Raw genomic sequence first — 27,235 nt, 5'->3', positions numbered from 1 at the left:
TTTTAATACTGAGTAAATGTCCTCATTTACCCCCACCAATTTTGTAAAGCAGATATTAACCAAACTTCAATAGTTATAAGACAAAAATTTAATGAAAATTGGACAGTATGTATAATCCAGGGCTAAATAGTTACATTGGACTGGAGTAGAAATTTAAAATACAATAGATGCTGGAGTAAATGTTACATATTATCATCATCTGATTCATCTTCTTCCTTCAGAGATTCCTGTTAAGAGAAAACAGGTGTTTAAAATTGATTTTTAAAATTGTTATATCCCACACCTGTGGGCAAGTTAAGCTACAACAACCTGAATTAAGTGGTTAAATTCCTCTACTTGTAACTGAATGAACAGTTTCAGAATAAGATACCCAAGCAAAGTTAATTAAGCAAATGTTGCTCTAACATGCAATGACTGTATCTTTGATAGAATATATACTTAAGAGGCCTGGTGCAGTGTTCATGCCTGTAATCCCAGCACTTTACGGGGGCCAAAGTAGGCAGATCACGTGAGTTCAAGAGTTTGAAACTAGCCTGGTGAAAACCCGTCTCTGTATTATTGGTGAAGCCAAAAATACAAAAGTAGCCAGGTATGGTGGCATGTTCCTGTAATCCCAGCTACTTGGGAGGCGGAGGCAGGAGGATCGCTTGAACCCTGGAGGCAGAGGTTGCAGTGAGCAGAGATGGTGCCACTGCCCTCCAGCCTGGGTGACAGAGCAAGACTCCGTCTCAAAAAAAAAAAAAAAAAAAAGAACAAATATTTAAAGTATTAAAAGTCCTAAAAAACTCTTTGCAGTCTAAACCTCCCAAGTTTTTTTTTTTTGGAACCAAGGCAACTTTACCCACTAGAGATAACCTAGAAAATTTCTATCTTTAGTTCAACTGAACTCTCAGTGTTATTTCATAGAAACCACCCCAGTCTATTTATATTATTCAACACATAATTTTGGTTAGAGAATTTTTTTTTTTTTAAATTAGGGATGGGGGTCTTGCTGTGCTGCTCAGGCTGGTCTCAAACTCCTGGGCTAAGTGATTCCCTGACTGTACCTGGCCAAGAGAAGTTTTTGTGCTGTGGCTTACCTTAGCATATTTCTCTGCTTCTTCTCTTATATCTTTTGGAACAATTTCATGTCTTCCATTAGTTACTGTAAATTAAGCCACATGTGTAAATGAATTTTAAATTGAGTACCATATTGTAACTTGCAGTATACCATAGGATCTACCCAATCCACATATCTGACTCACCTAAGGTTGCAAAGTTGTACTATGAGTAATACTCGAATATTTTTGTGTGCTGCTTCTACATGAGATTATATGTGCCTACATATTAAGTTCTTATGGAAATGAAAGTAAATTATGCTATTTATAAATCCTGAGCATTAATTTATAGCATAGTATCTTAAAACCATGAAATGGATGTTTCAAAAAATAACGTGTTCACAACTTAAGTCAATTATTAAGCAGAACTTTCCCTTCATTAGACAACCTAGTAAATTTGCTTTAGCTTTCATTATATTAGAAAGGACACTCAGTTGTAAATTAGCTGTGGTACAGATCATTCCTAAGGCAAATAAATGTACAAAAATAACTTACATTCACCAACCCAGCTGAGTTCTAGTTCAAAAGCTTTATCCTTAACTTCGTCATGTACTATGTAAATTCTAGAATAGAAAAGGGAAAGGTAAGATTTTGGTAACCTCCAAACATTGAAGTAGTTCACAGACCCAAAGTCAGTACAAATTAGAATGTCCATCCATAATAAAAGTATCTATAAAATTACACAGACACATTCTACATAGTATTTAACATTAGAGAAGACAAATTACACAGGGACTGAAATAAAATGAAACATCTACTCTCCCGACAAATGTTGAATATACCTAATCAACCCAAGTTCAGTTTATTTTTGCACATTGCTTTAGAGATATAACTTGGCTGGGCACAGTGGCTCACACCTGTAATCCCAACACTTTGGGAGACCAAGGCGGATGGATCACTTGAGGTCAGTTCGAGACTAGCCTGGCCAACATGGTGAAACCCTGTCTCTACTAAGAAACAAAAATCAGCCAGGTGTGGTGGTGGGCGCCTGTAATCTCAGCTACTCAGGAGGCTAAGGCAGGAGAATTCCTTGAACCCGGGAGGCAGGGGTTGCAGTGAGCCAAGATCACACTACTGCACTCCATCCTGGGCTACAGTAGAGCGAGACTCCATCTCAGAAAAAAAAAAAGATACAACTATAAAAGATACCTCATAAAGAACACGGATTCACTAGGAAGAGGCGTCATTAACTGTGCCCTTTTAGAATATTTTGTCCATTAACTTAAATATATTTAAAACCAACTAATTGGCTGGACATGGTGGCTCGTGCCTGTAATCCTAGCACTTTGGGGAGGCAGAGGCGGGTGGATCATGAGGTCAGGAGTTCGAGACCATCCTGGCCAACATGGTGAACCCACGTCTCTACTAAAAATACAAAAATTAGCCAGGTGAGGTGGCCATAGGCCTGTAGTCCCAACTACTCGGGAAACTGAGGCAGGAGACTTGCTTGAACCCAGGAGGTAGGGGCTGCAGTGAGCTGAGATCACGACACTGCACTCCAGCCTGGGCAACAGAGTGAGACTCTGTTTCAAAAAAATAAAAAAAAAAAAACTAATTTATGTGCTTGCAATTATTAGTGGTCTCTTCAACCTATAGCTTCTTGGCAGTAGTCTTTTTAAGCTCCTTGTCCATTTTATAATGGCATATATGCCACATAACCTGGCCTTCACATTGTAGTACCTTACAAATTACAGCAAAGAAGGAGGCACTGTCATGCAACATATTAAAGTAACATAAAAAGTATCAAGAGGCCAGGTGCGGTGGTTCACATCTGTAATCCCAGCACTTTGGGAGGCCAAGGTGGGTGGATCACAAGGTCAGGAGTTCAAGACCAGCCTGGCCAAGATGGTAAAGCCTGTCTCTACTAAAAATACAAAAATTAGCCAGGTGTGGTGGTGGGCGCCTGTAATCCCAGCTACTTGAGAGGCTGATGCAGGAGAATTGCTTGAACACGGGAGGCGGAGGTTGCAGTGAGCCAAGATCGTGCCACTGCCCTCCAGTCTGGACGACAGAGTGAGACTCCATCTCAAAAAAAAAAAAGTATCAAATTAAGTACAGTAGCAGAGTATAGCTTTATCTAATACTATGCACTGAGTTACATACCTTACTTTTTGGAGGGTCTTCTAAAACCTTGCTATAATATGAGAGGATCTTGATTTTCTACAACTAAGTAAAAGATAACATGCTGCTCCATTTTCTTAAATGATGAAGGGATGGCTTTCCTAACATGGAACACTTAACAGATGACTACCATTATACCTAAATATAAAAGATGGTAAGAACTGATTTCCAGAAGGACTTCAAAGGATTGGTTCGGTGAAGGAAACAGAGTATATCATGATAACATACTATACAATTCAAGGAAGATATCTGACTTCCTTTCTTAGCAGCTCTGCTGCATGTTGGTTCCTAGTGTTGCCATTATTAACTGACAATCATAGAATGGCTTCTGCTTGCTTCACAACTGAAACTAGGAGGGCGGAGGGGAGGAGGTGGCAAGAGGGGTAAAGGCAGTAGCAGTAATGATGGACCGGTTAATAAGAGACTCTGAGTGTGATGTAAATAGTATGTTTATTAAACAATAGAGCCCATTGGAATTTTTTTCTTCCACGTATTGTTAGATGTAAAACCTGATACACTACCATACAGACAGGTGATTGACTAGACCTTGTTTATGTAGTTCTAATGTGGAATACTTAGAGTTGTTATGAATTACGATTATCCATAACTTTTGAATCTAAAAAGCTGGCTACACAACGTATTTTGTTGGAATCTTTTTGTAATACCAAATGTCTACACTCTTTGATCTAGAGAATCACAAAATTTTAGAAACATCACTACCCAGGTTAATTGACTTTTTTATTGTTTACTGTCCAAATACCTGTTACATATTAATAGTATTCTACTTTATATACCTGTAATAAACTATTCAGGGTTTCTTAAGCTGGTTGTTGAAATGTTTTGTAATACTGCTCTTCTTACCTTGTTATAGGAACTTTTATAATAAACCTGAAAAAGTGAAACATATCTTTCCCAAATAAATAGCAGATTATATAAATGAGCCAGCTTCATGGATCATGTATTGAAATAATTAGTTGTAACCTATAAAGTTTGTAAGCATTCTTACAATAGAGGCAATCTTAAGATTACTATTATTAGGACTTAAGAGATTTGAGAAGTTGGGAGCTAACAAATTAAGACCCTAATGGTATATGTCCTTAACCTGTAACAGGAGTTTATTTTGTCAAGCTATTTTTCCCATCCTATTCATTACTACTAAAAAATATTGCTTAAAAACATTTTCTTCCTTCGTGAGGCTTCTTAGAATGTTAAATTTACCTTCTAAAAATTATACACTAAGTTATTTTACAGGAAAACAGCTTCTTAGGATTAATGTAATATATATATGCAAAGGTCAAATGAAATATTTTTGTGGATGGTAAGAAAAATTTCAACTTACATTTTTGCAACTTCTTTAACGATATCACGGCAGGTCATTTCTTTCATCTATAGAAAATAAAATGTATACTGTTCATCAGAAGAACATTTTCCACTTGTGTAATAACTATTTTCACTTTTATACTCAGATATAAAACCAAGGAAAATAACCTAAAGTCTGAAAAAGACCAGAATCGAAGTTTCCTGATTCATATTTTAATGTTTTGAAATTTATACTCCAGGCTGGGTGCAGTGGCTTGTGCCTGTAATCCCAGCACTTTGGGAGGCCGAGGCGGCCGGATTGCCTGAAGTCAGAAGTTCGAGACCAGCCTGACCAACATGGTGAAACCCTGTCTCTACTTAAAAATACAAAAGAGCTGGGCATGGAGGTGGTGCGCGCCTGTAACCCTAGCTACTCGGGAGGCTGAGGCCTAAGAATCTCTTGAACCCAGGAGGCAGAGGTTGTAGTGAGCCGGGATCACGCCACTGCACTCTAGCCTGGGCGACAGAGAGAGAGACTGTCTAAAAAAGGAAAAGAAAAAAATTTATACGCCAAAAAAGATATTCTGAGATAACCTGTAGTTACCACTAACTTTGTGACAAAATTATAAAAATCCACAGCCATCTATGAATCTGTAGGCAGACCTGAAGTTTGAACGACTGGTGAAGACATCTGATTTTCTTTATAGCCAAGTTAGGATAACAAAATGCAAACAAGTCATTAATATTTACTATATGCAAGATACAGAAAGATGAAGGAAGGAGTAAGAAGTTATCCTTCGTGGAACTATTCAAAGCAAAAATGCAAAATACCAGGGAAAGCTTTGAAGAACCAAGATTTGAGCAGGTTCTTAGAATATAGATTGGATTGGATTTGATTTCAAGAAAGATGAACGTGTAAAGCAGAAGTGGGAAGCCAAAAACTTTTTTCCAAATTAGAATTAAGCATTCTTTCAATGAACATTTGGAAATCAAGGTAGAAAAATATCCCTAGGGCCTAGCTGAGGAGTCTGTATGTTGTTGGGTTTTGATAGTAACCAGTCCAAGATTTTGTTATTAGACGTGGGTTTCTGAATAGACAGGCATTTCTGAACAGACATGACAGGATCAAAACAATGTTTGAGCAAACTGCCCTTCATCTACTGTGGATATGTTGGGGGATGATGGAATATAGTGAAAGATAATGGGTGCTCATACAGCAGTCTAGACTTAAGGTGATTCAACTACTATATATTAAACTAGATTATCTTTTATTTTTTAATTTTGAAATCTGGATGCTCAAGCTCTGCCTGCACAACCACATGAGGAAGAAGGAACAATGACAACAAAAATAACACTAAATTTAAATTTAAGAGTACTACTTTTAGGAAATAGACAAACCATTATTTGGGTACAACTAAAGGCAACTGGCATGGACTCAAATATTTTGGGGAAGAAAAAGACTAAAAGTTCTAAGGAAGAAAATGCGAACCTTGATAGTTTGAAATAGTTAAAAAGACAGTGTAGAAACTGCTTAGGCAGTTTGATTATGGACTATTAGATGATACTTGGGTCTGATAATGGTATAAGGAGAATAAAGTATTTAGGGATCCAATATTACGCCTGCAGCTTTTTCCAAATAGTTCATGGGGGAGGGGGATGTGTAAGTGGTTAACTGAAGTCTAACTAGATAGGTTTGTTGTAAGCTTAGGATGTTTACAGTTCTTCATGTTAAGTTGAGCGTGATGGGAAGGGAAAGAATGCTGATCTTTAAATTTTTGTCCTTAGTTAAGTTCTGTATTTAGTGAATTAATTGCATCCTAAAAAGTCAAACTTGAAAAGCACATTTTAAATGGCAAATCTATTTTTTACATGTTTGTGAAGTTTTTATTTTTTAGTAAACAGACCATCAGAAGAGAACAATGGTACAGAGCAGGGGTCAGCAGATGGATTTTGTAAAGCATCAACTTGTAAATATTTTCAAGTTTATTAGCTGTATGGCTCTGGTTTCTGTTCCCTGTTCCAAATGTTAAAGTCTACTGTTGTATTCTAAAAGCAGCCATGGACTGAATGTAGCTGTGTTCCAATAAAACTTACACAAAAGCAGGCAGTGGGCCATAATTTGCAACACCTGATTCACAGCATAATTTTGTCACAAACTGAAAGTGTTCCTCAATTAAAGTGATTTTTTTTTCTTGATTTTTCTCTGGGATTTATTGTTTTTCCCATTCCTTGCTAGGATTTAACTACAGAAAGACAGATAGTAACTGCTCTAAATATTCTAATTTCCTTTATTTTTTTGAGATAAGGTGTCGCTCTGTTGCCCTGGCTGGAGTGCAGTGGCGTGATCATAGCTCACTGTAGCCCCCAACTCCTGGCTGGGGCTCAAACAGTCCTCCTGCCTCAGCCTCCCAAGTAGCTGGGACTACAGGCACGCACCACCTCACCTCGCTAACATTTTGTTTTGGGAGATAGGGTCTTACTCTTTTGCCCAGCCTGGTCTTGGAACTACTGGGCTCAAGCAGTCCTCCCAACTTGGCCTACCAAACTGGTAGGATTACAGGGGTAATCCCCCTCAACTGACATAAATATTCTAATTTTCAAATTTCCATATAATAGTATGGAGAGATGAAAACAAAAGGAAAAGAGTAGAAGATAGGAACCTAGCATCATACTAGTAAGTGTGCAATGGAAAAGAACATAGGTCTAAGACTCATAAGGTCTGGATACTGTTCAGAACCAGCTGATTCTGTGGTCCTATGCAGTGTGTTTAATCTGCAGTTGAGCTTGGGCTAAATGACCTCTAAGATCCTTTTGTCAGCTTTACTAAAATACGAAACAAATTAGGTTTTATAGGGGGTTCTAGAACTTAGCATTGTATAAATGCCAAGCACTAATAAGTATTTTCTAGAAGCTGGTCTTAAATAAGTTGAATGAGTAATTAGTTGAGCAGGGTTCTAGTACAGCATTAACATTAAATGTATGTGAAATTGTATCTCACTTCAGTTTACCAAAACACTGATAAATGGTATGCCTGCTTTTTAGGCAAGTTTCTGACAGGTAATCAATAATATTGAAACAGTATCCATGAAGTCTTTAAGTTGATCAACGCATGGCTAAAAGGAAAACCAAGTTTTTAAGAAAACTTTTTCACACTAATAGCTGAATTTTGTGAAAGAAAAAGTGGGTAGTCGTAAGAGTGTAGGCTTTATGCCTTACCTGGCTAGGAGCAAAGCTAAGAGAACCGGTGGAGCACAGCCAGACATAAAAGCTGTGTTCCAAAGAAAGAATATAGGAAAAATATAACTTTTTATTAACTCAAAATTTTAAACAAAATTTTCAAACTAGAGCTCACAGAGATTCATAAATAGGTTTCAAGGATTTTGTGAAATCATATCAAAAGTTGTGTTTTTCTAGATTGAGGCTTTATAGCAGTTATTCAGAATCTATAAAGGGATGTATAACACAACTCTACAGATAATATGTTACCAGCTTTCCCATTCAGTGACTTAGCAGCTTCATAAACTCTCAACATCAAACCACACTATATCCTTACACCGAGCTTCCCCAGCCACAGGCCACATGGGGCCAAACACAAATTCGTAAACTTTCTTAACACATGATGAGATTTTTTTTTAAGCTCATCAGCTATCATTAGTGTTGGTGTATTTTATGTGTGGCCCAGGGAAGCCAAATGATTGGACATCCCTGCCTTAGACTGAAATGTCTGTGGTGATAAAATTTCACTGCATTAGGATGACGACATAGTAAAAATTCAAGCATTAATTATTACCTGAAGCTTCTCTATTTCCGTCTTTGCAGCTTGCCTGGCTTTGCCGATGGCACAGCCCCAATAACCCTATTTAGAAAAAAATATATATAATCACTGAATTAGTACACTATCATATGTAATTAATGACTACTAATGTTTCTATAACCTAGTGAAAGGATGCTAAATGACTTTTAAAAGCAAGTATAGAAAAATATAGTCAAACACATTCTGATGAATGCCAAAGGGCTCAAAAATACTAAAATACCAAACAATTCCAAAACAACCTGTATTTTTAATAAAGGTATATCCAAAAATATGTAAATTATGTAATCATATACACTTTAAGACATTTTGGGGAACAGGAACGGAAAAGATTTTAGCACTATGACAATGAAAAATGAAATTATATATTCCTGAGAGACAGAAATAAAGTTAATTCCTATGAGTTCAGTACTCTAAACCCCCAATTTTATTATTTTGTAAATTTTTTTAAAGATAAGGATGCACAGCTGGGTGTGGTGGGTCATGCCTGTAATCCCAGCACTATGGAAGGCCAAGGTGGGCAGATCACCTCAGGTCAGGAGTTGGAGACCGGCCTGGCCAACATTGTAAAACCCTGTCTCTACTAAAAATACAAAAAAATTAGCTAGGTGTGGTGGCAGGTGCCTGTAATGCCAGCTACTCCAGAGGCTGAGGCAGGAGAATCGCTTGAATCTGGGAGGCAGAGGTTGCAGTGAGCTGAGACCGCGCCACTGCACTCCAGCCTGGGCAACAGAGTGAGACTCCATCAAAAAAAAAAAAAAAAAGGATGTACACATATATACTTCTGTTACAGCAAAATATATTTAAGAATCTTCATTTTCTTCAATTAGTAAAAACGACAAAAATGTAAGGATAAGAAAACAGTTAAGAAACGGTAACAGGCCGGGTGCAGTGGCTCACACAAAGTGCTTGTAATCCCAGCACTTTGGGAATCTGAGGCACGTGGATCACTTGAGGCCAGGAGTTCCAGACCAGCCTGGGCAACATGGTGAAAGTCTGTCTCTACTAAAAATACAAAAATTAGCCAGGTGTGATGGTACAGGCCTGTAATCCCAGCTACTTGAGAGGCTGAGGCACAAGAATCCCTTGAATCCGGGAGGCAGAGGTTACAGTGAGCCAAGATTGCACCACTGCAGTCCAGCCTGGGCAACTGAGCAAGACTCTGTCTCAAAAAAAAAAAAAAATGGTAATAATTTAGGGAAAGCTCTTAGAAATCACATTTAAACCTTCTCTTTAAAAGGGAAGGCAGGGCAAGGTGGCTCACACCTATAATCCCAGCATTTTGGGAGACCAAGGTGGGCGGATTACTTGAGATCAGGAGTTCGAGACCAGCCTGGCTAACATGGTGAAACCTCGTCTCTACTGAAAATACAAAAATTAGCCGGGTGTGGTGATGCATGCTTCTAATCCCAGCCTACTCGGGAGGCTGAGGCAGAATTGCTTGAACTGGGGAGGTGGAGGTTTGGCGCCACTGCACTCCAGTCTGGGTGACAGAGCGAGACGCTGTCTGAAACAAAATTAGGTCCGGCACTGTGGCTCACGCCTGTAATCCTTGCACTTTGGCAGGCCGGGGTGGGCAGACCACCTGAGGTCAGGAGTTGGAGACCAGCTGGCCAACATGGCAAAACCCCATCTGTACTAAAAATACAAAAATTAACCAGGCATGGTAGTACATGCCTGTAATCCCAGCTAATCAGGAGGCTGAGACAGGAGAATTGCTTGAACCTAGGAGGCGGAAGAGGTTGCAGTGAACCAAGATCGAGCCACTGCACTCCAGCCTGGGAGACAGAGTGACACTCCATCTTATAAATAAATAAAATAAAAGGGATGACATGGCTGGACATCGATGCTCACGCCTGTAGTCCCAGCATTTTGGGAGTCCAAGGCAGGAGGACTGCTTAAGGCCAGGAGTTTGAGACCAGCCCTGGGAACGTGGAAAGACCTTGTCTCTATAGACACCAAAAAAATACAAAAATTAGCTAGGCATGGTGGCATGAGCCTGTAGTCCCAGCTACTTGGGAGGCTTAGGTAGGAGGATCGCCTGAGCCCAGGAGTTGAGAGGCTGAAGTGAGCTATGATTGTGTCACTGCACTCCAGCCTGGGCAAGAATGAGGAAAAAAGACATTAAATACAGTTTTAAGACAGTGTTTATAGTAATAAAGGAAAATCACATATTCAAAATACTATATGCACTATACAGTTTCTATAAATAACATACTGAAAAAAAATCTTTCCTCTGCCTCGTATCAGTTATTAATGATAAGAAAACATGGCTGGGCCTGGTGGCTCACACCTGTAATACTCGCACTTTGGGAGACCCAGGTGGGTAGATCTCTTGAGGACTGGAATTCAAGACCAGTCTGGCCAACATGGCAAAGGCCTGTTTCTACTAAAAATAAAAAAAATTAGCCAGGTGGTGCACACCTGTAATCCCAGCTACCCGGGAGGCTGAGGCAGAAGAACTGTTTGAACCTGGGAGGCAGAGGTTGCAGTGAGCTGTGATCACACCACTGTGCTCCAGCCTGGGCCACAGTGAGACCCTGTTCCCCCAAAAAGGAAAAAAAAAAAAATTCTGTTGGACAAGAGGTTGTTGTAAAAAAAAAAAAAAGAAAAATTACTTTCCTTGAATGAGTTTTTTTTTAATTTCATATAATCTTATAATGAGACTTAAATGCTAATGAAATACCATTAAACTAAAATAGAATTTCAAATGATTCAAAATTACTCACGTATGAAACACCTGATGGGTCAATCATGTAGAGTTGCGCACCGTCATTCACACTGTAAGACCCTAACATGAAACTGCATGAAAGTATACAAACAGCTTAAACCATGGCAATAACATAAAAGTATTTGTGAAAAAATTATTTTAAAATGCAGTTATATTTTCTTTCTGAGATAAATTACTAATACACATATAACTCAGTAAGTACTTTGAAACAGTGGTTTCAATTAATTAAAACTATTACATGAGATTATTCAAAATTCATGTAGCTTTTGTTTGTTTAGTATTAATCTTTCTGATGAAGGTCTCCTGGAAAGTCTAGCAGTACAGGGAAAGGAGTAACGATAGATGAAAACCACAACTATGAGAGGGCCCAATAAATAAGGCATAAACACAAAAAGATCAAGGGAACAAAATTCCTGACGGAGAGTATACTGAATCCATGTGAAATTCTTTCCACCCTTCATTCTATTTCCCAATATCCTGCCAATCATTTCTCTGCAATAATCAGAATTGGTTCAGTGTATTTTTCTGTGCTCAACAAATTAGGCTATTAGCTGATTGTATGAAATACTGATTTTCTGAAATTGTGACATACAGTGGGCACTGTTTCCATGAGTTCTGCATCTGTGGATTCAACAAACCACAGATAGAAAACTTTCAAAAAACATTGCTTCTGTACTGAACAACTGTGATTTTCTTGTCATTATTCCCTAAACAATACAGTGTAACAGCTATTTACACTGTGTTAGGTATTGCAAGTAATCTAGAGATGACAACATACAGGAGGATATGCACAGGTTATATGCAAATACTTAACCATTTTATATCAGGGACTTCAGCAACCTTGGATTTTGGTATTCATGGGAGGTCCTAAAACCAATCCCCCACAAATACCAAGGGACAACTATATTTGCCTTAGAGTAGAAAAGAAATCAGCAGCATCTTACACATCATCTTATATGCGGAATATTTTAACTATTCAATTCCCATCCCTACCGTCATTTCCTTCCATTTTCTACCGATATGAGACTTATCCTTCAGGATATATAGCTCATTGTCACTATTTTAAAGCCTTTCAACATTTCTTTGAAGAAAATCAGCATGGAGCACAGACTTTTATATGACTGGACCCCTTCCTACATCAGTATCATCTCTAAACCTCATACTCTACACACCAAGCATACTTAACTCTCTCTGGCGCACGTATTTTCATACCAGTTCCTGTGCTTGCAACTACCAAGTCTCCCTACATCTCACACTCTTCCTTGCCTCCTGTCCAGAAAGAGTCCGTTCCCTAATTGTTGTCCCTTTATCATATCACTAATATTTTATCAATGTGACTTCACACCTGTGTCTCCACATTTATGACTAACTCAGTGCCCAATAGATGTTTACTAAAAAAGTTCTCTCTGGCCCAGTGCGGTGGCTCACGCCTGTAATCCCAGCACTTTGGGAGGCTGAGGTGGATCACTTGAGGTCAGGAGTTTGAGACCAGCCTGGCCAACATGGCGAAACCCTGACTGTACTAAAAATAAAAAAATTAGCCGGGCGTGGTGGCAGGTGCTTGTAATCCCTGCTACTCAGGAGGTTGAGGCAGGAGAATAGCTTGAACCCGGGAGGCAGAGGTTGCAGTGACCTGAGATCGTGCCACTGCATTCCAGCCTGGGCGACAGAGCGAGACTCCATCTCAAAACAAAACAAAACAAACAAAAAAAAAGTTATGAAAAAAAGTTATCTCTACTATTCTTACTCCCTTAAAAAGAGTAGAGAAGTTAACTGATGAACTCAGAGCTCAGTTGAAAGGTATTTTACATGGTCTGAAAACAAAGTGTTTCATAATGTAATTTAACTGAGAAGCTTAAGAATGACTAATGTCAGCCTGGGCAGCATGGTGAGACCCCGTCTCTACAAAAAAAAATTTTGTTAATTAGCCAGGCATGGTGGCCCATGCCTGTGGTCCCAGCTACTTGGGAGGCTGAGGTAGGAGCATCGCTTGAGCCAGGTCAAAGCTGCAGTCAGCCATGATGGCACCACTGCACTCCAGCTCAGGTGACAGTAACTGTCTCAAAAAGTAAAAACAAAACCCTAATGTAATATTACCAATAGAATAAAACTCAAGTTTTCTTTAATATCTTAGTAATTAAATATGACTGATGATAAACAACTCAAAGGTAGGACTACAGCTGAGCACTCAGATGTTAGTATATGTATTATTTTGACCAAACATGTTTGACTGTTTTAAGTCATAAGCCAAACATGTCTTTTCATTTTAGAAAAATCTAGTCACAAGTCTTCTCTGTGAAGCCAAATTTGAATATTTATACCTATTCCAGGTCTTTATGCAGCTGAATCTCCACTTTACCCCACAATAAAATATCAGCACTTCAACAGAAAGAGAAACCGTGCCTAATGGGAATTGTGAGACGTAATTTTTAAAATTACCTAAGAATATCAGGGACTAACACCGAGAGCTTATTATAATCAGATTAAAGTCATTGTTATCAGTTCCTTGTTTTATAATCACTTCAGATCTATATAGTCCTTTTCACTATTGAAACCTTTTTTTTTTTTTTTTTTTTTTTTTTAAAGAGGCAGAGTCTCTATTGCGCCAGCTAGAGTACAGTGGTATGGCCACAGCTCATTCCAGCCTTCAACTCCTGGGCTCAAATGATCCTCTCAAGCAGCTCCTAAGTAGCTGTGACTACAGGCATGTGATACTGCACCTGGCTAAATTTTAAATTTTTTTTGTAGAGATAGGTTCTCACTGCGTTGGCCAGGCTGGTCTCATACTCCTGGGCGCGAGGGATCCTCCCACCTCAACCTCCCAAAGTACTGGGATTACAGGCTTGAGCCATGGCACCCAGCCTCAAGTAGTTTCTATGTACACTGTTTTATTTAATCATTGCCCTAATACTTATCGACGAGTTTCTATTTTTAAGTATGTAAAAGGCTAAGATGCTGGGGAACATAATAAATATCTATAGTACAGATCTGCCTTTTGAATAATTCACAAAATTTCTTACCTGCAGCCAAAAGGTCTAACAGCACTGTAGAGTGTATATGCATGCACATACATGGCCACTCTGTCTGCAAGATGCTATGGAGGGAAGCAGAAGAGCTTATTAATAAACTTCTATTACTGTCCAAAAGGTTCCTCAATATGTTATCAACTTACTTTTAGTGGAATGTTGTAGCCAAAGTTAGATCTGAAGTTGGAAGCTTCTTCTCTTGCTATGTCTGCTAAAGAACGAGCATCTGCCAACAAACCTGCTACTGCCTGAAAAAAAAGCACCAATTTACTAGAGGAACACATTCCTATCACAAATCAAAGTCTGCAATTAATAAAGACTTATTAAACATTTTTTTAACAAGTATTACCATTCAAAATAAACTTTTTTGGCTTAAAGGTCTCTCTACAAGGCATTTTGATGCTTGAGTATGAAATTATAATTTAGAAATTTAGTAAGTATAACTTCATTGCTTTGTCCAATGTTCATATTCAGGACATTTCCTTTTTTTTTTTTGATACGGGGTCTCGCTCTGTCACCAGGGCTGGAGTACAGTGGCATGATCTCCGCTCACTTCACACTCTGCCTCCTGGGTTCATGCCATTCTCCTGCCTCAGCCTCCTGAGTAGCTGGGACTACAGGCGCCTGCCACCACGCCCGGCTAATTTTTTTGTATTTTTAGTAGAGATGGGGTTTCACCATGTCAGCCAGGACGGTCTTGATCTCCTGACCTCGTGATCTGCCTGCCTCAGCCTCCTAAAGTGCTGGGATTACAGGCGTGAGCCACCGTGCCCGGCCAATATTCAGGACTACTTCTATCATAAATCCTCTTCCCCTGATTTACTACCACTACCTCATTATAACGAATAAAAACCATGGGTCTTGGTCAGATTTTTTTTTTTTTTTTTTTTTGAGACAGAGTCTCACTGTGTCACCTAGGCTGGAGCACAATGGCACCATCTGGGCTCACTTCAACCTTTGCCTCTCAGGTTCAAGGGATTCTCCTGCCTCAGCCTCCCCAGTAGCTGGGATTGGCTAATTTTTATATTTTTAGTAGAGACAGGGTTTGGTTTTGTCATGTTGGCCAGGCTGGTCTTGAACTCCTGACCTCAGGTGATCAGCCTGCCTCAGCCTCCCAAAATGTTGGGATTATGGGTGTGAGCCGCCGTGCCCGGCCCAAATTTGTTCTTTTCTCTAAAGTTATTACAGGTTGAGGATATCTAATCCAAAAATCTGAAATTTAAAACGCTTCAGAATCTGAAACTTTTTGAGTGCCAACATGACACTCAAAGGAAATGCTCAGGCCGGACCTGGTGGCTCACACCTGTAATCCCAGCACTTTGGGAGGCTGAGGCAGGTGGATCACAAGGTCACGAGTTCAAGACCAGCCTGGCCAAGATGGTGAAATGCCGTCTCTACTAAAAATACAAAAATTAGCCAGGCGTGGTTGCAGGCACCTGTAATCCCAGTTACTTGGGAGGCCGAGGCAGAGAATTGCTTGAACCTGGGAGGCGGAAGTTGCAGTGAGCCGAGATCGCGCCACTGCACTCCATCCTGGGCAACAGAGCGAGACTCCATCTCAAAAAAAAAAAAAAAAGGAAATGCTCAGTAGAGCTTTTTGGATTTTGAATTTTCAGATTAAGGATGCTCAGCTGATGAGTATATAATGCAGATATTCCAAAATCGAAAAATATCCGATATACTGCTGGTCCCAAGCATTTTAGACGAGAGATACTCAACCTGTAACTGTTTTGTTCTAAAAGGCACAATCGCAAATCTTTTTTCAGCCTATTGGCTGAATAAACTACAATGATAAACCATTCCTCTTTCAAGATTTGCGGCTTAGAACTGCAGTTACTAGGCCGGGCACGGTGGCTCATGCCTGTGATCCCAGCACTTTGGGAGGCCGAGGCAGGGGGATCACCTGAGGTCAGGAGTTTGAAACCAGCCTGGACAACATGGTGAAACCCCTACTAAAAATACAAAAATTAGTCAGGTTTGGTGGCGGGCACCTATAATCCTACCTACTCCCAAGGCTGAGCCACAAGAATCACTTGAACTCGGGAGGCGGAGGCTGCAGTGAGCCGAGATCACGCCACTACACTCCAGCCTGAGCAACAGAATGAGACTTTGTCTCAAAACAAAAACAAAAACAAAAACAGAATTGCAGTTACTATGTATGTGCCGAGAGGTCCTCAGGCACTGCAGTGAAATCACATGTTAGTGTGGCATATCTTTTTTTTTGAGATGGAGTTTTGCTCTTGTTGCCCAGGCTAGAGCACAGTGGTGCAATCGCGGCTCACCGCAACCTCCACCTCCCAGGTTCAAGGGATTCTCCTGCCTCAGCCTCCCGAGTAGCTGGGAGTACAGGCATGCGCCACCACGCCCGGCTAATTTTTGTGTTTTTAGTAGAGACAGGGTTTCTCCATGTTGGTCAGGCTGGTCTTGAACTTTCGACCTCAGGTGATCCGCCCGCCTTGGCCTCCGAAAGTGCTGGGATTACAGGTGTGAGCCACTGCACCTGGCCTAGTGTGGCACATTCTAAGTTTGGAGAAAAATGTCCAAGTAGTTCCGTTTGAACATTAGATCGTTTTACTACATTCCTTTCAATGCCACCACATCTTTGAGAAGCTTGGCTGTTAGTGGTTGCTGTGAAAAAAAGTAAGTACTGTGCAAAAATCAGTGTGGAACAGGAAATGACAGTGGCCACATCCAAATTTGGGAGGTTGTGCAGTGTATATACTAGAAATTTTGGTTGCTTAAAATAAAACATTTTAATTTTTAAATAAAAATATTTTTCACTATGTGTGTATTTAAAAAAAAAAAACGGCTACTAAGTTTTTAGGATGTAAACACTAAGTTCTTTGGATCTAAATACTTAATAAATGAAACCATTAGGTATTTTCGGCCTAGGGAAGCCATGAGAAAAACTACTGAGACACTTAAGGTACCATAAACCAACCAAGTTTTTGAAACCCTCTAGCCCAGGACAGTTACAGAATTTAAAAGTGGTATCACAATCTTTAATAGCCTTTTTTTCCTACGCTACCCAGTAATAGTAATAATGATAATTACTAAGAGATACTGAGCACTCATTACATGTTAAGCATTTTGCATAATAATTTTTAACCTCACAACAACTGTATGTGCCAAGTACTATTATCACTCTTGTTTTGCAGACAAGGAAACGCGTGTTTAGAATAGCTTCCCCAAGGTAACCCATGCCAGTAAGTTACATCACTTAAAGAATCTTCTGTTGCTTTAGAGAAAGCTTACTGTAAAGTCATATAATTCTCAAATCACTTGAAGATGACAACTGTGGAAGGAGGGAGGATATTAAGTCTTAATTTTCTCCAGCCCTCTTCAATGTCTAATGTTGACAGGGCACATTGGCTCATGCCTGTAATCTCAGCAACTCAAGAAGCTGAGGCGGGAGGATCGCTTGAGCCCAGGAGTTCAAGACCAGCCTGAGCAACACAGCAAGATCATATCTCTTAAAAAAACTAAAAAATTAGCCAGGTGTGATGGCACACTTGTAGTCACAGCTATTTGGGAGGCTGAGGCAGAAGAATCACTTGAGCCCAGGAGCGCAAGGCTGCAGTGAGCTATGATCATGCCACTGCACTCAAGCCTGGGCAACAGAGCAAGACCTCTGTGTGTGTGTACATACATATATATATGCATGCATAATTTTTTTCAAAATATTAACTTTTGCTAGTACATAAAAGAATACAAGATCACCTCCTACTAGCTAGGTTACAATGTAGCAAGTTTCATCAAAACATATCAGTTTCACTGGCAATAATAAATCTGTTCAGCATTATTCTTAGCAAACTAATACAAGAAGAGAAAACCAAAAACCACATGTTCTCTCTTATAAGTGGAAGCTAAATGATGAGAATTCATGGATACAAAGACAGGAACAACAGACAATGGGGCCTACTTGAGGGTGGAGGGTGGGAGGAGGAAGAGGATCAGAAAAAATAACTATTGGGTCCTAGGCTTAGTACCTGGGTGACGAGAAAAATCTGTACAACAACAACAACAAAAAAACAGTAAAAAGAAAATGTATATATACACAATGGAATACTATTCATCCTTTAAAAAGAATAAAATGCTAGGCTGGGCACGCTGGCTCACGCCTATAATCCCAGCACTTTGGGAGGCCAAGGCGGGTAGATCACTGGAGTTCAGGAGTCCGAGACCAGCCTGACCAACATGGTGAAACCCCGTCTCTACTAAAAATACAAAAATTAGCTGGGTGTGGCGGCGTATGTCTGTAATCCCAGCTACTTGAGAGTCTGAGGCAGGAGAATTGCTTGAACCCGGGAGGCAGAGGTTGCAGTGAGCTGAGATCGCGCCATTGCACTCCTTCCTGGATGACAGAGTGAGACTCCATCTCAAAAAATAAAATAAAATCCTGTCATTTGCAGCAAAATAAAAAAATCTGTTCAGGAGAAACATATTGTTGAGATAAAATAATCTTTGAAGAAGAAAAAAATTAGCTTTATGGTTTACTGGTTATACTTTACCAGTACTTTTTGTGTTTGTGTGTAACATTAAATCTCATTTAGATATAAGAAAGCTATCAGCTGAACGATGTGGGTCATATAAGGTGTCTTTTCATTTAGAAAGGGCTCTTGAGTAACATGCAGACCCAAGTTTGAATCCCAGCTTTTCTTTACTTGCTGTGCATCTGTTTTTTCACCTGTGAAAATGGCATTAGGCCGGGCGCAGTGGCTCACGCCTATAATCCCAGCACTTTGGGAGGCTGAGGCGGGCAGATGGATCACTTGAGGTCAGGAGTTCGAGACCAGCCTGGCCAACATGGTGAAACCCTGCCTTTACTAAAAATATAAAAATTAGCTGGGCATGGTAGTGGGCACCTGTAGTCCCAGCTACTTGGGAGGCTGAGGTAGGAGAATCGCTTGAACCCAGGAGGCAGAGGCTGCAATAAGCTGAGATGGCGCCACTGCACTCCGGCCTGGGTGACAGAGCCAGACTCTGTCTCAAACCAAAAAAAAAAAAAAAAGAAAATGACATTGATATAACCTTCACTGGGTTGTCAAGATTAAACAAGGTAATTTATGTAAAGAGCTCCCAGCATAAAACCTAATATAGAGATATTCTCCTTTCTTCCTTTCCTTTTCAGGTGGCAGGGTTAGAATCATTTGATTCTTTTTTTTTTTTTTCTTTCAGTAGTGGTTCTCACTAAGCCAAGTCTGCCATCTATGTAGGGTAACTTTAGTATATACCAGTCATGTATCTATGGCTTGGCTTGCAATTTAGTCACTCATAACTTAGATACCAGCTGCATGAATAACTTAATTTCAGTGATGCCCTATGAAACTATTATGGATGTGTTCACTTTTCCTTTTCATTAAACATCCTTTCCTGATGTTCCACCTTATATAAAGGTGTTCGCTATCTGATGGCATCTTTACTTTGACAGTGATCCCCACAAGAGATACAGAAAGCTAAAGATTCTTCACCTCTCAAGCATATACCTTCATTAGTAATGTGTGCTGCCAAGATCTCATTTCTACGCATACTCCCCAGCCCTCTCCCTCACCTGCTCTTCTTTCAGCAACTTGGTTTTTCCCCCATCACTAATAAGGTTATGAGAATGCTGCCTTTCTACTGGACAGTGAACTGGACAAATGCAGTAACTTGCTCTGATTACTTTTGTGACTGCACAGTGATCTATTCCAATCAGTTACTTCAAAAGAAATTGGACAAGACAAAAAGGAACATTTTAAACATGACCTTACCATTCCAACATGCCGATCAACATTAAAAAGTCTTTTGTTGGAACCTTCTTCATAAAGTTTAGAAAGGACTAATTTTTCTACCCCAAAGACAACACCATCTTTGCATCTGATTCCAATAGCTGTACTGAAACAAGGAGAAGAAAATCAGTTTTTTAACTGAAAATAAAAGAAACTTCATAAACTTAAGTTTAACAAAAAAACAAAATAAGTAACATTTAAGGCATGCCAAATACCTTAAAACATTTGAAAACCAGGAAGAGAAAACACACTAAAGTGTAATAAATACATTAAATCCATATAAATATCATGTGACCCTCCCTCCAGAATCTAGTACATCATTTGACTAAAAATATATTAATATGTAAGTATAAAAATGATGCTAACGAAACACAATATGGCTCAGTGTCTGGCTTATGATAATCATGTTATAAACAAATGTTGACATAAATTCATGTCCATTAAAAATGGTACATAACAGACATAAAAGGTTAGATACAAACTAAAAAGTTAACAGTGACTGCTCTGGGTAGAAGGATTATGATTTATTCTTCCTTTTGCTCATCTCTTTCTTCCAATTTTTCCATAATAAACATATTGCTTCTAATACGTATATAAAAATAAAATATATGTTCTGCTACAACTGTTTAAAATAAAAAGATCTTAAAATAACCTCTTAAGACCAGGCATGGTGGCTCACACCTGTAATCTCAGCACTTTGGGATGCTGAGGCAGGAGGATCTTTTAAGCCCAGGAGTCCAAGACGAGCCTGGGCAACATGGCGAAACCTGGCTTAGCCAGGCATGGTGGTACACGCCTGTAGTCCCAGCTACCTGGGAGGCTGAGGTGAGAGATTGCTTGAGCCCAGTTAGGTGGTGGCTGCAGTGAGCCAAGATTGCACCACTGCACACCAGTCTGTGCAACAGAGTGAGACCCTGTCTCAAACACACACACACACAACCTCAAGTAAAATGTGGAGAAATTACTTGTTGCCATTTCAAGATGAAAATGTGTTACACTTTATTCTTCTATTCCTTTTTGATAAAGGTAGTTCTGATCGGAAACAATAGAGACAAAATAAGCAATGCTTGATTGTACAGTTTTCTGGTAAAATTATCTCAACTTTCTCTTTCTTCTTTTTTTTAATTTTAAAGAAATGGAGTCTTGCCATGCTGCCCAAGATTGAATTGAAGTCTGAGGCTCAAGTAATCCTCTCACCTCAGCCTCAGTAGCTGGGACTACCGGCACAACTTCTCTGTTTTGGATAATAGCATCACCAAGCTCTACATCCTCCATGTTGAGCTTCTATTTACTATTAATTTTTTTCTTCAAAATTTCCTTCATGTCCACTTCTTTACAATAATTATACCAGCATTGGGATCCTTATAATTTCAGGCCTAGATTACTACACCATCTTTTCTACTTCTCTAATCCGTTTAATCTAAGACCAGCCTAATTCCTAGCTGTGTTTCATTTTGCCATAGTCAGAATCTAAAAAGGGATCCACAATCTAAAAAGCAGGGGAATTGTGTTATTCACAGGCCTCTTAAAATCTGATGAAACTATGGCATTTCCTCCCAGAAAAATGAACAACAGATGCACACAACAAATTTTCTAAGAATTTCTGACACTCCTTCCCCAACACTTTAGGTGTCTTCCATGGCTCCCCTTGCAAGTTTAAACTCCTAAGGGTCTGGCAGAACCCCCTGAGCATATTCAATTTCCTGTTATAAATTCTGTACTCTACTGGTTACCTCACTGTCAACCTTCAAAAACCTCATGTTCATTTTTGATTCCATGTCTTTGAGGTTATCCTGGATGCTAGAATACATTTCCTCTTCACTACTGCCTATTTAAATGAATTTCCCCAAAAGGTTTGCAAACTTAGTTGAACTCAAGCAGTACAGGTCAGAATGTAACCTCAGGACTTTGGAAGGCCCAAGTGAAAGGCTTGCCTGAGGCCAGGAGTTCAAGACCAGCCAGGCCAACATTTTGAAACTCTGTCCCTATTTTTTTTTTTTTTTTGGAGATGGAGTCTCGCTCTGTTGCCCCAGCTGGAGTACAGTGGCGTGATCTTGGCTCACTGCAACCTCCATCTCCCGGGTTCAAGTGATTCTCCTGTCTCAACCTCCCAAGTAGCTGGGATTACAGGCGCGCACTGCCATGCCCGGCTAATTTTTTGTATTTTCAGTAGAGACGGGATTTCACCATGTTGCCCAGGCTGGTCTCGAACTCCTGAGCTCAAGCAATACACCTGCCTCAGCCTCCCAAAGTGCTAGGATTACAGGCGTGGCTCACGCCCAGCAGGAAGCCTGTCTTAATTATCTCAACTCAACATCTTCCACACTGTTTAAAACATTCTTGAAAATCTGGAAATCTCTGAAATCCTTTCAGGCAGTCTTCGAGGTCAAAATTATTTTCATAAGAATTCAAAGACTTCGGCTGGGTGCGGTGGCTCACACCTATAATACCAGCACTTTGGGAAGCCTAAGCAGGCGGATCACTTGGGCTCAGGAGTTTGAGACCAGCCTGGGCCACATGGTGAAACCCTGTCTCTACAAAAAATTTGCCAGGCGTGGTGGCACATGCCTGTAGTCCCAACTACCTTGTGGGGCTGAGGGAGGAGAATAGCTCGAGACCAGGAGGTCGAGTCTGCAGTAAGCTGTAATCACACCACTGCACTCCAGCCTGGGTGACAAAGCGAGATCCTATGTCCTGCCCCCAAAAAAAGTTTTTTTTAAAAAAAAGGAATAATAAGCCAGGCGCAGTGACTCACACCTGTAATCCCATCACTTTGGGAGGCCAAGGCAGGAGGATTACTTGAGCCCAAAAGTTCAAGACCAGCCGAGGCAACATAGTGAGTGAGACCATGCCTCTTTTTTAAAATAAATAAACATTTTTTTTTAAAATAAGAAACTAGCATTTGTTCACTTTGGGTGTAGTATCAAAGGACAGGTTAATACATCTTTAAAAAGAAGAACTTTTAGGCCGGGCGCCGTGGCTCATGCCTGTAATCCCAGCACTTTGGGAGGCTGAGGCAGGCGGATCACCTGAGGTCAGGAGTTCGAGACCAGCCTGACCAACATGGAGAAACCCTGTCTCTACTAAAAATACAAAATTAGCGGGCCATGGTGGTGCATGTCTGTAATCCCAGCTACTTGGGAGGCTGAGAGAATTGCTTGAACCTGGGAGGCAGAGGTTGCGGTGAGCCAACATTGTGCCATTGCACTCCAGCCTGGGCAACAAGAGTGAAACTACGTCTCATTTTTAAAATCCTAGCTTTTTCTGAGACAGAGTCTCTGTTGCTTAGGCTGGAGTGCAGTGGTGCAATCTTGGCTCACTGCAACGTCCACCTGCCAGGTTCAAGTGATTCTCCTGCCTCAGCCTCCCAAGTAGCTGAAACTACGACGTGTGCCATCACACCCGGCTAATTTTTGTATTTTGTTATTTTTTAGTAGAGACAGGGTTTTACCATGTTGGCCAGGCTGGTCTCAAACTCCTGACCTCAGGTGATCCGCCCGCCTCAGCCTCCCAAAGTGCTGGGATTACAGGCGTGAGCCACCACGCCCGGCTGCATTTTTTCTTCATTCAGGAAAAAACACATTCGTTTTTAAGGTTTCAATTTTTTAAAGATATTTCCTCATATTTGCATAAATCTGACTTTTTAAAATCGTATTTAGGCTGGCCACAGTGACTCACGCCTATAATCCCAGCTCTTTGTAATCAACGAGAAATATAGGACTGGGGCTACTCTCTGGGAGTCCGAGGTGAGCGGATCACTTGAGGCCAGGGGTTTGAGACCAGCCTGGCCAACGTGGCAAAACCCCGTCTCTACTAAAAATGCAAAAATTATCCGGGCATGGTGGCACATGCCTGTAATCCCAGCTACTGGGGAGGCTGAGGCAAGAGAATCACTTGAACCCAGGAGGCGGAGGTTGCAGTGAGCCAAGATCGTGCCACTGCACTCTAGCCTAGGTGACAGAGTGAGACTCAGGTCTCAAAACAGAAACAGACATAGAAAAAATCTTTGCTGAATCGAACATGTGACTAATTGCATAAGACATTTAAAACACAAGATGTATGAGAAATAAAAAATAACAAGGTCACAAACCTAATGGCTGAGGAAGCCTATGATACAAATCAAGAATTTGAAAATGGAAAACAAAAAGATGATAATGAATGTGATTTATACACTCTGCAACATGGAAAATCTAAGTGGATAATCCTGGAATCAACGAGAAATATAGGACTGGGGCTCATGGAAAGCATCTGGCCTAGAAAGAGATCTGGAAATGAATAAATTGAGATTTGGGGACATATACTAATTTGTACCAAAGTAACATAACAAAGCCTAATCGCCAAAAATATATAAAATAAAAGGAGACATGTAATACCTGGTTAAATGTTTCTTACCTACTATTTTCCACAGCCTTCATAGCATATTCAACTTGAAAAACTCTTCCGTCAGGAGAGAATGTAGAGGCTGACAGGTCATACTTAAGGAGAAAAGGGCAACAGTAAGCTTGTATCTTTGGCAGTAATGACCATACAGTTTCTTCCCCTCTAAATGGCTGAAACATCAGGAACCTGTTATATCCCAACAAAGACCTTGCTTTCAAGAGAGGAAAGGGAAACTTGTCAGAGCAGCAACAGTAGCTAAGATAAAGCTATATACCTTCGATTTCAGCTATTGAAGAGTAATGGATACAGGTCCCAGGTGAAGTCAGAACACTTTTCACCCAGACTACAAAACTCATTTTTGAAAAAGATTAATATGGGGCAGTAGAACCAGCACTGGAGTTCGAACATTTAAATTTGTAACGATAACTCTGCCATTAACAAACTAAAAGACTTCAAACAAATCATTCGGCATTCACCAAGCAGTTAATGAGTATCTATTATGTTACTATACGGAATACAAAGGTATACTCATTCATTAAGTCCTTCAGTTTCACATCAGACATGAATCTAGGTGCTAGAGGTACAGCAGTAAATCAGAAAAGGCACTAAGATGAAAATAAAAGAGTAAAGCAATGAACTACTACAGACTACATCATCAGGGAAGGCCTTCTGGGCAGTTATATTTAGGCTGAGTCAAACCTAAATGACAAGGAGCTAGCCATTTAAGATATGAAGGAAAAGTCTTCTTGACATTTGGCACAAAGATCTTAGGGTAGAAATAAGGCTAGCACAGTCAAGAAACAGAAATAAGGTCACTGTGTCCCAAGCACTGTAAGCAGCAGAAAGAAGAGTAAACTGTGTTAGTGAGGTAGCTGAGGGCCAGATTATGTTGTGTCTTCCAGGATGGAAAAAGGACTCTGTATTTTATTCTAAATGCAATGAGAAATTTAAGCAGGGGGAGTGGTATCATCTATATTTTTAAAAACATCATTCTGGCTTTATGCGGAAAATAAGCTGTAGAGAGAACAACAGAAGCAAAGATAAGGTGTTCCAAAGATAGCGGTAGTAGCTTAGACGAGAGAAGAGGTAGAAGGGAATATTTTTTGAGAGTAGAGTAAAATATAAAAATAATAAAAATAAACTTGCTAGGCCAGGCGTGATGGCTCATGCCTGTAATCCCAGCACTTTGGGAGGGTGAGGCGGGCTGATCACAAGGTCAAGAGATGGAGACCATCCTGGCCAACATGGTGAAACCTCATCTCTACGAAAAATACAAAAATTAGCTGGGCGTGGTGGTGCGCACCTGTAGTCCCAGCTCTTCGGGAGGCTGAGACAGGAGAATTGCTTGAACCTGGGAGGCACAGGTTGCAGTGAGCCAAGATCGTGCCACTGCACTCCAGCCTGGCAACAGAGCAAGACTCCGTCTCAAACAAAATAAAAATAAAAAAATAAACTTGCTAAAGCGTTGGTTCTGGGAGTAAAGTAAAAAAAGGAATTAAAGATGAATAACAGATTTTTTCATATGACCATTCACTGAGCTGAAGACTGTAGTAGATGCAAAATGGCAAGGTGAGGAGAAAACCCAGAGCTCTACTTTCACATGCAGTACGAAATGACTATTAAACGATCAAGTGAACAGACATGTCAAGCAGACAAACAAATATTCGTATCTGGAGTTCTTGGGAGAAATGAAGACAGAAGAAAAGCCTTCAGCAGTGGTACTTTCTGAGTCTGTTTCCTGATCTGTTAAACCCAGATCATTAACCCTACCATTGTTACTAAAATATCCCACATGGTTACATTATCAAGTATTCTTTAAAAGGTTTGTAGAATGAAATACTATTAATTCAAGGTAATATTAATATAATTGCAAAGTCAGTTTGCTACAAGATTTAATATTGAGCATTTACTTATCCAAGAAAAGTATGGCAGAACTTTAGCATTCATAACTGAATGGATTAAACCATTCCAGACATAAGTTGCCTATTATCAAATTTAGAACACCGGTACTTGAACTTAAGGCTGAGCATGAGAATCTTGTTAAGAAGTAGAAATTGAGGAACTGAGAAACTCATTATTCAATAACTCTAGTGCAAATAACCAATAAATCTTTTAGAAACTGTATTTTCTATATAGAGAAGTACATAAAAGGAGTAAACTGACTGCACATATGCAATACGTTTAACAAAGGAAAGCCAAACAAGTTAACAAGTCCCACTGCAAAATCCTCAACAGTCTATGAAAAGTCTGAAGCTGTTAAGTTCCTAAGTAACCATTTAAACGTTTACGGAATAAATGCCTACAAGCGCTGTTAGGTAATTTGTATAGGAAAAACGAGAAAGGAAAAACTGAAGGATTCATCAGATTGTTTTTCAGACCATTTTTATTAGTTCTGTTCCGACAGGATTTCCAGTGACTCTTAAACTGAGCGGTCAATGATCTGCACACTTAAAGACAGAGAAGGCCTGTGAATCAGCAGCACCCTAGGAACTGCAAACGCAGTCCACAAAAAGCACGATCTCCAGACCCCGGAATCCCAAATCTCACTGCCTCGGTGGTTCTCAAGAGAACACACTATTTCAAGCCCCACGAGTTTCCACTTTCGGTTTCCCTAAGTGGCTGAAGAAAGTGACTCAGCAATCCAAAGCGGCTCCAAACCTCACTGCGGCGACGCCAAGCCGGCTACACCTGCGCTGAAAAGCTTCAGGAGTCACGGTCACCTGAGACGCAGGCCTAGCATATAGGGGATAAAGACGACCGGTCTCCAAACAGCTGCAAATGGCCCACCCAGCCGAAGGCGGTCTCAGAGCACCCCGGGTCCGCGAACCCCATGTGGTCTGTCCGAGTTCCCTTCAACCCCAATCCTTAGGTTAAACTATTACACCGACAGACAGCGAACTCACCCCAGTGCCGATTGAGCTCATCGTGCTAAACCCAAAGGGACGCGTAGGGATTCCAGGCCCGGAGCGCTTCCCCTATACCACAGGATGCCGCAAACTAGT

At 40.3% G+C, this 27,235-nt stretch overlaps 1 protein-coding gene and 1 long non-coding RNA gene across 5 annotated transcripts in view, besides 2 other annotated features; one reads left to right on the top strand and one right to left on the bottom strand.

The window, feature by feature from the left end:
- PSMA3-AS1 (PSMA3 antisense RNA 1) overlaps positions 1 to 6,713 on the top strand; it is a 32,773-nt gene extending 26,060 nt beyond the window's left edge. For both annotated transcript variants that reach the window (NR_029435.1, NR_029434.1), the window contains one exon: positions 4,685 to 6,713. This is a non-coding gene — a long non-coding RNA (PSMA3 antisense RNA 1). The remainder of the gene's footprint in view (positions 1 to 4,684) is intronic.
- Positions 74 to 27,235, bottom strand: PSMA3 (proteasome 20S subunit alpha 3). Of its 3 annotated transcripts, none has more exons than NM_002788.4 (11): positions 27,137 to 27,235; positions 24,246 to 24,328; positions 19,836 to 19,959; positions 14,232 to 14,333; positions 14,080 to 14,153; positions 11,058 to 11,130; positions 8,308 to 8,373; positions 4,558 to 4,604; positions 1,593 to 1,660; positions 1,080 to 1,144; positions 74 to 227 (listed from the first exon to the last, which is right to left on the bottom strand). In NM_002788.4, exons 1-11 carry the CDS (start codon positions 27,155 to 27,157, stop codon positions 183 to 185), a joined length of 768 nt encoding a protein of 255 aa, NP_002779.1. In that variant the 5' UTR covers positions 27,158 to 27,235; the 3' UTR covers positions 74 to 182. The 3 variants fall into 3 exon arrangements, 2 of the variants coding, with proteins under 2 accessions (NP_002779.1, NP_687033.1); NM_152132.3 differs by having other exon boundaries at positions 11,058 to 11,109; NR_038123.2 differs by lacking the exon at positions 24,246 to 24,328.
- Positions 26,326 to 27,223: an enhancer, noted in NCBI's record as "H3K27ac hESC enhancer chr14:58711573-58712470 (GRCh37/hg19 assembly coordinates)". NCBI's record gives its function as "activates a minimal SCP1, AML or CMV promoter by ChIP-STARR-seq in naive H9 embryonic stem cells {active_cell/tissue: H9 hESC(naive)}" and the evidence as "EXISTENCE:reporter gene assay evidence [ECO:0000049][PMID:30033119]".
- Positions 26,762 to 27,211: an enhancer, noted in NCBI's record as "active region_8448". NCBI's record gives its function as "activates an Ori minimal core promoter by ATAC-STARR-seq in GM12878 lymphoblastoid cells {active_cell/tissue: GM12878}" and the evidence as "EXISTENCE:reporter gene assay evidence [ECO:0000049][PMID:35858748]".

Source organism: Homo sapiens, chromosome 14, assembly GCF_000001405.40.
Source record: "Homo sapiens chromosome 14, GRCh38.p14 Primary Assembly".
Lineage (NCBI taxonomy): Eukaryota > Metazoa > Chordata > Mammalia > Primates > Hominidae > Homo > Homo sapiens.
This window is presented reverse-complemented; position numbering and strand designations above follow the sequence as displayed.

Coding starts and splice junctions, on each gene's coding strand:
- PSMA3 (NM_002788.4), bottom strand. CDS start 27,157: ATGAGCTCAATCGGCACTGGG. Junction 11,131..14,079: donor GTTAGACCTTTTGGCTGCAG/GTAAGAAATTTT, acceptor ACTTTCATGCAG/TTTCATGTTAGGGTCTTACA. Junction 8,374..11,057: donor ACCCATCAGGTGTTTCATAC/GTGAGTAATTTT, acceptor TTTTCTAAATAG/GGTTATTGGGGCTGTGCCAT.